At 37.1% G+C, this 12,057-nt stretch overlaps 1 protein-coding gene across 10 annotated transcripts in view; it reads left to right on the top strand.

Annotated features, from left to right (window-relative positions):
- AGBL4 (AGBL carboxypeptidase 4) overlaps positions 1-12,057 on the top strand; it is a 1,501,444-nt gene that overhangs the window by 401,831 nt on the left and 1,087,556 nt on the right. The window lies entirely within an intron of this gene.

Below are 12,057 nucleotides of genomic sequence, written 5' to 3'. Positions count from 1 at the left end.
ATGACTTACAGAATCAAACTTGACATTGCTTCAGCAAGCCACATAGTAAGTAAAATAAATCCTTCACATCCTAGAGGTTCAATGGGACTTGGATCTAGCAATACTTCTAGATTCATTAGTGGCATTTCTTGAGTCTTTTCCATTCAGGATACAGATAGTTTGATGAGAATGTGACAGATGGAGAAAGAGTATAAAGGACTGAAGAGAACAGTAATGTGCCTTTTATTAGTTTCCAAATCTCTGTCCTCTTGGCAGTCAATTACTAACAGAGACAGGAGAAGGAATTCTGTGCAGTCAAACTGAAACTGTGAAATCCACACACAGATTGTATCATACCTTGGAGTGGTTAATGTGCCCTGACATGTAGGAAAGGCAAATGTGGTGCCCCTAGAAACCTGGGGGCAACTGCCTATGTAAAAAGTAAAGTAGAGGTTCCTCTTCAAAGACTTTCCTCCCCATCTAATTAGGAATAAATAGTAACTTCTCTTAGAAGCAAAATTTATTCAAAGACCTGTGCTAATATTCTTAATTATCTGCTAGCTGTAATAAAGAAATCAATGTACTTTATGTTCTTAGCTCCCACAATTTAGCCTAAATATTTGGCCTGGCATGCTTATAGTGGTCCAAGCAAGCATTAGGTCATAGCCTGTTCCTCTTCCTTATTTGAAGGTGTTTTTACCTTTCTCAGCATTCCACAAGTTACTTCCTCCTTCCTTTGTTCTCCTCTGCCTTTGCCTCTTTTAAAAAGTTCTAGTTTGATAGCCAATCGGGACAAATACAGAATGTGAGTTCCCGTTCCAGCCAATGGAAACCGGACACAGCAGTAGTGTGGACGCATCAAGTTATAAATGACCCTGTCTCCTTTGTTGGGTGTACTCTCATGGCCAAACTGCTGGTGAGTGTACCCTTTCTGCAGAAAGTAAAAATGGCCTTGTTGAGGAAATTAAATTTATGTTCAAGTACTATTTCTTTACGGCACAAAGGAACAAGCATTTCTAACACCTAGATAAAAGAAGTGAAAAAATTTTGTCATTCTGGCGTGGCATGGGGTGCTTTGGGAATAGACAACATTCATATAAATGTTACTGCAAACATGTCATTTTGGTGCTAGAGCACTAGCTTTGTAGGCAGTAAAATAATGGGTTGTCCAAACTATTAACAATGTATCTAGATAACATTGTAATTACCTACAAGGTTTTGGCTTAATGCTATAACTCTGATACAGAAAATAACTTAATCAAGTAATTTTGAAAAAAAAAAGGTTGATTTGGTTACATAAAAGTAAAAATATTTAAATTATCCTTAGCATGTGTACTTTCTACTATTAAATTTTAGGGAGAAGGGACCTAATATTGACCTGTTATTCACCAGGCACTTGACTGGGTGATTTATATTTATTATTTTGTTTAATCCTTGCACTGTGTGATAGGTAGTTACGATTTTCCTCATATATAGGTGTGAAAAGTGAACCTGAGCAAACTTTTCCTTTTCCAAGGTTATATACATAATATAATTCAAAACCTTGGTCAAATGGTATTTTTGGTTCTAGGTCCTTGAAGAATCACCATATTGTCTTCCGCAGTGGTTGAACTAATTGACACTCCCAGCAACAGTGTAAAAGCATTCCTGTTTCTCCACATCCCCTCTAGCATCTGTTATTTCCTGACTTTTTAATGATCACCATTCTAAATGGCATGAGATGGTATCTCATTGTGCTTTTGATATGTATTTCTGTAATGACCAGTGATGATGAGCTTTTTTTTCATATGTTTGTTGGCCACATGAATGTCTTCTTTTGAGAAATGTCTGTTCATATCCTTTGCCCATTTTTGATGGGGTGGTTTGTTTTTTTCTTGTAAATTTAAGTTCTTTGTAGATTCTGGATATTAGCCCTTTGTCAGATGGATAGATTGCAAGATTTTTCTCCCATTCTGCAGGTTGCCTGTTCACTCTAGTAATAGTTTCTTTTGCTGTGTAGAAGCTCTTTAGTTTAATTAGATCCCATTTTTCTATTTTGGCTTTTGTTGCCATTGCTTTTGGTGTTTTAGTAATGAAGTCTTTGCCCATGCTTATGTCCTGAATGGTATTGCCTAGGTGTTCTTCTAGGGTTTTTATGGTTTTAGGTCTTAGGTTTAAGTCTCTAACCCATCTTGAATTAATTTTTGTATAAGATGTAGGGAAGGGGTCCAGTTTCAGTTTTCTGCATGTGGCTAGTCAGTTTTCCCAAAACCATTTATTAAATAGGGAATCCTTTCCCCATTGCTTGTTTTTGTCAGGTTTGTCGCAGATCAGATGGTTGTAGATGTGTGGTGTTATTTCTGAGGCCTCTGTTCTGTTCCATTGATCTATACATCTGTTTTGGTACCAGTACCATGCTGTTTGGGTTACTGTAGTCTTTTAATATAGTTTGAAGTCAGGTAGTGTGATGCCTCCAGCTTTGTTTTTTTTAGCTTAGGATTGTCTTCGCTATACAGACTCTTTTTTGGTTCCATATGTAATTTAAAGTAGTATTCTCTAATTCTGTGAAGAAAGTCAATGGTAGCTTGATGGAGATAGCATTGAATCTATAAATTACTTTGGGCACTATGGCCATTTTCACGATATTGATTCTTCCTATCAATGAGAATGGAATGTTTTTCCATTTGATTGTGTCCTCTCTTATTTCCTTGAGCAGTGGTTTGTAGTTCTCCTTGAAGAGGTCCTTCACATCCCTTGTAAGTTGGATTCCTAGGTATTTTATTCTCTTTGTAGCAATTGTGAATGGGAGTTCACTGATGATTTGGCTCTCTGTTTGCCTATTATTGGTGTATAGGAATGCTTGTGGTTTTTGCACATTGGTTTTGTATCCTGAGACTTTGCTGAAGTTGCTTATCAGCTTAAGAAGATTTTTGGCTGAGACGATGGAGTTTTCTAAATATATTATCATGTCATCTGCAAACAGAGACAATTTGACTTCCTCTCTTCTTATTTGAATACCCTTTATTTCTTTCTCTTGCCTGATTGCCCTGACCAGAACTTCCAGTTCTATGTTGAATAGGAGTGGTGAGAGAGGGCTTCCTTGTCTTTTGCCAGTTTTCGAAGGGAATGCTTCCAGGTTTTGCCCATTCAGTATGATATTGGCTGTGGGTTTTTCATAAATAGCTCTTATTATTTTGAGATATGTTCCATCAATACCTAGTTTATTGAGAATTTTTAGCATGAAGCGGTGTTGAATTTTATCGAAGGTATTTTTGCATCTATTGAGATAATCATGTATTTTTGTCATTGCTTCTGTTTATGTGATGTATTACGTTTATTGATTTGCATACGTTGAACCAGCCTTGCATCCCAGGGATGAAGCCAACTTGATCATGGTGGATAAACTTTTTGATGTGTTGCTGGATTTGATTTGCCAGTATTTTATTGAGGATTTTTGCATTGATGTTCATCAGGTATATTGGCCTGAAATACTCTTTTTTTGTTGTTGTGTCTCTGCCAGCTTTTGGTATCAGGATGATGCTGGCCTCATAAAATGAATTAGGGAGGAATCCCTCTTTTTCTATTGTTTGGAATAGTTTTAGAAGGAATGGTACCACCTCCTCTTTGTACCTCTGGTAGAATTTGCCTGTGAATCTGTCTGGTCCTGGGCTTTTTTGGTTAGTAGGCTATTAATTACTGCCTCAATTTCAGAATTTGTTATTGGTCTATTTAGGGATTCGACTTCTTCCTGGTTTAGTCTTGGGAGGGTGTTTGTGTCCAGGAATTTATCCCATTACTGAGCATATACCCAAAGGATTATACATCATTCTCCTGTAAAGGCACATCCACACATGTTTATTGCAGCACTGTTTGCAGTAGCAAAGACTTGGAACCAACTCAAATGCCCATTAATGATAGACTGGAGAAAGAAAATGTGGCACAGGTATACCGTGGAATACTATCCAGCCATAAAAAAGGATGAGTTCATGTTCTTTGCAGGGATATGGATGAAGCTGGAAACCATAATTCTCAGCAAACTAACAGAAGAACAGAAAACCAAACACCACATGTTCTCACTCATAAGTGGGAGTTGAACAACGAGAACACATGGACACAGGGAGGGGAACATCACACACCAGGGCGTGTCGGGTGTTGGGAGGCTGGGGGAGGGATAGCATTAGGAGAAATTCTGAATGTAGAAGACGGGTTGATGGGTTCAGCAAACTGCCATGGCACATGTATACCTATGTAACAAACCTGCATGTTCTGCACATGTATTCCAGAGCTTAAAGTGTAATATGAAAAACAAAACAAAACAAAACAAAACCGAAACCTTGGTCTGTCAAACTGGACTGTCTATTATTTAGCAAAAATTGTATACCGATAACATCTTTCTTTCTTATCTCCTGTTGTTTTTATCTGTACCTGTAGCTACATTATAAAGTGAATGAAGACAAAGACTAAATATGACTCATTTATCAAATATTTTCTGAGTGCACATCATGTGATAGGTACTATGATAAGGGCACTATTGGCCTGGACTTTAAAGTCAAGGTACAGGTTATACATGTAGATATGGAAGTAGGATAACAGAACATTTTAGGCAATTTTTGTTGTTGTAAGAACATAAACTTTAGAATCACACAAGCCTGTATTTTGTCTCATGGAGTTTACATTCTAGTGGGGAAAGAAGACAGTATACAAATATTAATAATTAAGTAAAACATGTAAGATGGTAAAAAGTGCTATGGAGAATAATAGTCCAGTAAGAGGACTAGAGGGTATAGGGATGGAGATTACACTTTTTAAATAGTGTATACAGGGAATATCTCACTGAGAAGGTGGAACTTGTGCAAATATCTGAAGATGAACCACCTGCAGGGCTATCTGAGGGCAGAGCATATGAAGCAGAAGACACAGGGGCAAAAGTCTTGAGTGATAGCATGACTGACATACGTATTTTAGGAAAGCAAGGAGGGCAGTATAGCTGAAACAGAGTGAGTGAGGGAAATATTAATGGAAGATGAGGCTAAAGAGGTAATAGAGTCAAGATCATGTTGGGACTTCTGGGCCAATGTAAGCGCTTACAATGGCTGAAATGGAAAAAATATTGGAGAGTTGTGAATCCTGGAGTGGCACCATCTGATTTACATGAATTGCCCTCTATGTAGAAAATGTACAATAGAAGAATAAATAGAAACAGAGTAGCCAGTTAGGAAGCAATTGAAATAATCCTGACAAGAGATTATGGTGGTTTGAACCGGATAGTACCAGTGGAGGTGATGAGTAGAGATTCTGGGAATATTTGGCAGTATAACCAATAGATTCGTTGATTGGATTTGGGTGTGAGATAATGAAATGAGTCAAGGATGGCATCAAAGTTTTTTATCTGAACCTCTGGTGTCATGAAATTGCTGCTAATGAAATAGGAAAGACTCATAAGAAGCAAGTTTGAGAGGAAAGATAAGGAGCCTAGGTTTTGGATATGTCTAGTTTGGGATACTTATTAGACATCTAAGTAAAGATATTGAATAGGCAGTTGGATAAGTGAGTCTGGAGTTCAAGGAAACATTTGAGCTGAGTTATAAATTGGAAGCCATCAATGTACACCTATGGTATTCAAAGCCATGTGACTGGTTGAGGAGCTTACCAGAAAAGTGAGTGTATTTTCAGAAGATAAAATGTGCAAGGACTGAGCCCTGAGGAGAATATATTTAGAGATCAAAGAATCCTACAAAAGATTTTTGAGAAAGAGCAGCCAGTAAAGCCAGAGGAAAACCAGAACAGTATAATATAGTAAAACCAAATGAAGAAAATGTTTCAAGGAGAACAGAGTGATCTACTGTGCCAAAGCCTGCTTTTAGGTCAAGTAAATTGAGGGATGTGGATTGATTATAGGTTTAGAAATGTGGAGGATGTTGGGGATCTTGACACAAGCAGTTTCAGTAGAATGGTGAGCTAAAGCTTGTGACTTGATTACGTCTAAGAGAATTGATGTGAAGATTAAATGATATAAAGAATATGAAGTATATGACACAATGCCTGGCACATGGTGGTACTACTTTACATATATTCCTCCTTCCCACCACCTTTTCTCCTCGAGAAAGAGCATGATCAAAGGCAGTGAAATAGGATATAAAAGGGTATGTAAAGAAATAACAGTTTAATTTTGGAGAGAAAATAGACTATGTGAGTGGTAAGATGAGGAATAGGCTACAGTGAATACATTGTGTGCCCAGCTAAATAGTGGGAGCTTTTCTTTTCTAGCTAAGGGAGATCCATTGAAGATTTGAGATCAGGAAAAGTGTCATTAAAAGTGCCATATTTCCTTGTATCCTCCATAGTGCTTTGCACATAGGTAGTATTAAGAGGATTTATTGATTTAAATGACTTGGATCTAAATAATTTAAATAATCTACAAAAGGATTCTGATTGACCCAGAGAGAACCCAAATGCTCCAAGTGCCCTTTCCTTTTGAATTGTGTTGATACTGTGTTCATTCGGCTATGACTCTTTTATCCATTTTTTTTCTCAGTATATTTGCTTTGGTGCTTTATGAAATTCAACATAAATCTCTGTATGAGAAGATTATTTGGCAGAGTTCTCTAACATCAGGAATTAACTACAAACTGTCGGCATATCTGGCAGCTGTCTCATCTCTTCATATTTCTATATAATCCTTTAAAATCAGATACCTTACCATCCAATAATTCAGAACATTTTATGTGATTTATAAATTGAGATCATCTCTCCAACCTTTTGGAAAATTTGGATCTGTGAATTTAAGATGTATTTCCCAGTGCTCTTTTAAACCATTTTGTCCCTTCCATAATTGTTTGTCCTGAAGTATATTCTCTTTTCTAGCTGAGTTTTCTGTTCTAGCATATAGACAAGTTCCATGACCTTGTCATCAGTCTGTCAGGAGATTTATACTGCCTCCTTTGCCCTCTCCTTTGGAAGACAGAAATACAGCCAAACTTCTATGTAGGTTTATTGTCAGAGTAAGATTTTTATGGGAAGCATCATAATGCAGTGAAAAGAGCTATAGATTAGGATGTATAAGATTTGGACTGTTAACCCCAGAAGTGCTACTGTGTTACTGATGTGTTGGGTGGCTTCTCTCAAGGTACTAAATTGTTCTATATCTCAATTTTCTTATATAAAAAACAAGGGAGTGTGATTAAATGGTGTAAATCACTCATTTATTATACAAATGTTTTCTCAGTGTCTGTTTTGTGCCAGACCTTACTAGGAGTGCTAATATGAATAAAATATACTTTCTGCCCTTGAGGCACTTGTACACCTTAAGGTTGATACAGAAAAAAATGTAATATAAAACAGTTACATAAAAGAGGTATGCAAAGATGGGAGTATAGTGTAGTAGCACAAGTGAATGGTAACTAATGAACTAGAGTGATCAGGAAATGCTTCCAAAAGGACATAACCAATCTTAAACTGAATTTTGAAAAATGAGTTGGACTGGAATTCTTTTTATACACTGTGGGTGGGAGTATAAATTGGTACAACTGCTTTTGGAAAAATACTATAAAAGTACTACTAGAGGGAACATACATATGCCTTTTGCTCTTGTATATAATGCCAGTTTTTCAGTCCCGGTAATGTATACAAATATTCTCCAAAGATATGTAAAATATTTTTACTGGTACTTTTTTCATAGTCAAATTTTGGAAATTATTCAAATGGCTATAAATCATATAATTGACACATTGTGTTACCTCATACCATGGAATACCATACAGCATTGAGAATGAGTGAACTGTAAGTAACTACATGTAACAACATGGAAGAATCTCACAAAAACAATATTGAGAGAAGGGGGCCAGAAAAAAAGAGTATATACCATATGATTCCATTCATATAAAGTTAGAAACAACAAAACTAGTCTATAGTATTAAAATTCAGGATAGTGGTTATCCTTGGCAGGAAGGTAGTGCCCAAAAAGAGGCCTCTGCAGTGCTGTTTATATTCTGTTTCTTGAAATGAGGGGTACATATACAGGTGTGCTGGGTTTCTTTAAAAAATCAAGATATGTATCTGTAATTCGTGCAATTTTATGCATATATGATGTATTTTAATACAAGTTTTACCAAATGTGTTTGTCAAGATCATAGCAAACAAGTGTGTTCTAAACAGAAAAAAAGAGCATGAACAAAGGGAGCAAGTATTAAAGAACATATTTTCCATTTCTCACATGCTGTGATTCTAATATTCTTTTTTTAAATTTCAACTTTTAGGTTTAGGACAGCAATCCCCAAGCTTTTTGGCACCAGGGACCAGTTTTGTGAAAGACAGTTTTTCTATGGACTGGGATGGGGGGATGGTTTTGGGATGATTCAAGCACATTACATTTATTGCACACTTTATTATTATTATGTTGTAATACATAATGAAATAATTATGCAGCTCACCATAATATTGAATCAGTGGAAGCCCTGTACTTGTTTTCTTGCAACTATATGGTCCCATCTGGGGGTGATGGGAGACAGTGACAGATCATCAGGCAGTAGATTCTCATAAGGCATTAGATTCTCATAACCTAGATCCCCTGCACATGCAGCTCACAATAGGGTTTGTACTCCTATGAGAATCTAATGCTGCCACTGATCTGACAGGAGGCAAAGCTCAGGCAGTAATGTGAGTGATAGTGAGTAGCTGTAAATACAGATGAAGCTTCACTCGCTTGCCTGCCGCTCACCTCCTGCTGTGTGGCCTGGTTCCTAACAGGGAATGGCCTGGTACCGGTCCATGGCCTGGAGGTTGAGAAACCCTGGTTTAGGTGATACATGTGCAGGTTTGGTACATTGGTATATTGTGTGATGCTGAGGTTTGGGGTATGAATGATCCTGTCACCTGGTACTGAGTGTGGTACCCAATAGGTAGTTTTCAGCCCTTACCCCACTCTTTTCCTCCCCCATCTAGTAGTCTCCAGTGTCTGTTGTTCCCATCTTTGTGTCCATGTGTACCTAGTGTTTACCTCACACTTATAAGTGACAGCATGCAGTATTTGGTTTTTTGTTACTGAGTTAATTCACTTAGGAAAATGACCTCCAGCTGCATCCATGTTGCTGCAGAATACATGATTTCATTCTTTTTTATGATTGTGTAGTATTCCATGATGTATATGTACATTTTCTTTATCCAGTCCACCACTGATGGGCATCTAAGTTGATTCCATGTTTTTGCTATTGTGAATAGTGTTGCAAATGCCCATAAAGGTGCATGTGTATTTTTGGTAGAAGGATTCATTTTCCTTTGGGTCTATACCCAGCAATGGGATTGCTAGGTCAAATGGCAGTTGTATTTTAGGTCCTTTGAGAAACCTTCAAACTGCTTTCCAAAGTGGTTGAACTAATTTAATTTACATTCCCACCAGCAGTGTATGTTTTCCCTTTTCTCCACAACCTTGGCAGCATCTGTTATTTTATGACTTTTTAATACATAGCCATTCTGACAGGTGTGAGATGGTATCTTATTGTGGTTTTGATTTGCATTTCTCTAATGTTTAGTGATGTTGAGCATTTTTTCATGTTTGTGGGCCACTTGTATGTATTCTTTCGAAAAGTATCTGTTCATGTCCTTTGCCCACTTTTTAATTGGATTATTAGTGTTTGCTTGTTTGATTTGCTTAAGTTCCATATCGTTTCTGGATATTAGAATCTATCCTGAATATTAAAATCTTTGTCAGATTTAATATTCATTTTTTTCATTTTTCATTCATAACAAAAGTTGACGCCTACTGTGTGATACTATTTTCTTTAAATTGTAAATATTGTGAAAATAGTAATAAAAATAAATTTCTGGCTTTTAAAATCCAATTAATTACTTATATAAACGAGATAAAACAACAAGAATAACAGCAGCTTTGCTTGACTGTGAGCTTCCTGCAATGACTGTGTTTTAAATATTTTTGCCTCACTATTACTCTGCATAGGGGCTTTCAAACAAGCATCCACCAAGTGTTAAATTAAAGGATTAGGTCACCATCTGCAATACACACATAGAAAAAATAAAAAGGCACATTTATCATAGATTTGGAAGATTTCCAAAGGAGTTGGGATGATTGAAGTAAGTTTGTTAACCTATAAAATCTCATTTTGCATAGCACTTTAACTATATAAGGCTTTTAACTTTCTCAGACACATATTTTTTTCTGGCATCTTTCTCCATGCAGTAGTAAGGAAAAATTATGTATAAAATATATTGGAAAGTAATTGCTAAAATGATCATGATATTCAACACTTTAAGATGGTCTAGTGTATTGTATTTTTAAAAATATTTCCTGAGAAATTAGGACAATAACAAGGTCAAATTCTAGGCTTTAGAACCTGAACAATGTATTTTCTTCCTACTTGAGATTTTACATCTACTCCTTATTCAGATTCATTGACCTTCAGTATAAAGTATGCCATTCCATTGTCTTAGTGTTTGGTAATAGCAAGAGTCTACCTCTAAGAATATGGTTGATACTGGCCGGGCGCGGTGGCTCACGCCTGTAATCCCAGTACTTTGGGAGGCCGAGGCAGGCGGATCACGAGGTCAGGAGATCGAGACCATCCTGGATAACATGGTGAAACCCTGTCTCTACTAAAAATACAAAAAAAATTAGCTGGGCATGGTGGCGGACGCCTGTAGTCCCAGCTACTTGGGAGGCTGAGGCAGGAGAATGGCTTGAACCCAGGAGGCAGAGTTGCAGTGAGTTGAGATTGCGCCACTGCACTCCAGCCTGGGCAACAGAGTGCGACTCCATCTCAAAAAAAAAAAAAAAAAAAAGAATATGGTTGATACCTAAATATCCACTGGGCTATTCACCGTGTTTTAGATATTTTCCATTTGTCCCTCTAGATCCATTCTTCTCTCTTTTCCACCTTGCTTAGTGCCCCATGACGCTGACTTTTATGGACTTAATCAGCAAATTCTCTTATATTCTGGCTTACAGTTGAGTGCCAATGAGAGGCACTAGGAGGAGATAACAGGGTGGGAAAAGAATGAGTTTGAGATTTTTATTTCTTTTCTCTTAAAGCGACATTTACATTCTCCAGGTTTTGGTAACTACTCTCTCCCCATGGCACTTCATGCTTATAGAGCCTTAGGTGAGCCTCAACCTCCATTGGAGAAAGATAACAGCTTTCATCTGTTGCTAGAGCTACAGTACTTCCTTATCCCTGGTTGGTTTTCCAATTCTGTTCACACCTTTGTAAATAGTCCATTTATTAAATTCTTTTTGTTTATTATTTTATTTGAATTTGCCATCTATTTCCAGCCAGACCCCGAGTGATATGCTAGACTAGGTTTGGGTATGGTTTTGGTTTGTATCTTAGTCAATTCCTGCTACTATAACAAAATATCTTAGACTGGGTCATTTATTAAGAGATATTTATCGCTCACAGTTCTGGAGGCTGTGAAATCCAAGCTCAAGGTTCCAGTAGGTTCAGTGTCTGGTAAGGACCTCTTCCTCATAGATGAGGTGTTGTTGCTGTATCCTCACAGGGGAGAAGGGCCAAATAGCTCCGTCAAGCCTCCTTTATAAGGGCACTAGTCCCTTCATGAGAATAGAGCTCACATGATCTAATCACCTTCCAGTGTCTCCATCTCTTAATACCATCACATTCAAGGATTAAATTTCAATACATGAATTTCAGAGGGACACAAATATTCAGATTATAGCAGTTTGGTGTGGCTTTGTTTTCCATGCAGCACTGTGCCAATCTTTCTCTTTCTTCAGGACACAGCTCAAGAGTTACTTCCTCTGAAAAATGGATTTTGGAGTCTGAAAAGTCTACGTTTGAGTTAAACTCCAACACTCCCTAGCTGTGTGGCTTGGGGGCAATTTCTTCATATTTTTGAACTTTAGTTTTCTTCTCTGTAAAAATAGGGAAAATAACACTCCCATGCAAAGTTGTTAGGGTTATTAAATAAGATTATGTCTTTGAAAATTCCTGACACTAAATAGAATTTCTGTTTTTCTTTTCCTCCTTCACATGAGGAATGGCTTACTGGGCATGTTGTGAAGTACTGGGCACACTTCACTATATGCCCAGTATTACTAACTTTATCTTATTTTTATTTTTTATTTTCTAT

The sequence above is a fragment of the Homo sapiens genome, chromosome 1, assembly GCF_000001405.40.
Source record: "Homo sapiens chromosome 1, GRCh38.p14 Primary Assembly".
Lineage (NCBI taxonomy): Eukaryota > Metazoa > Chordata > Mammalia > Primates > Hominidae > Homo > Homo sapiens.
This window is presented reverse-complemented; position numbering and strand designations above follow the sequence as displayed.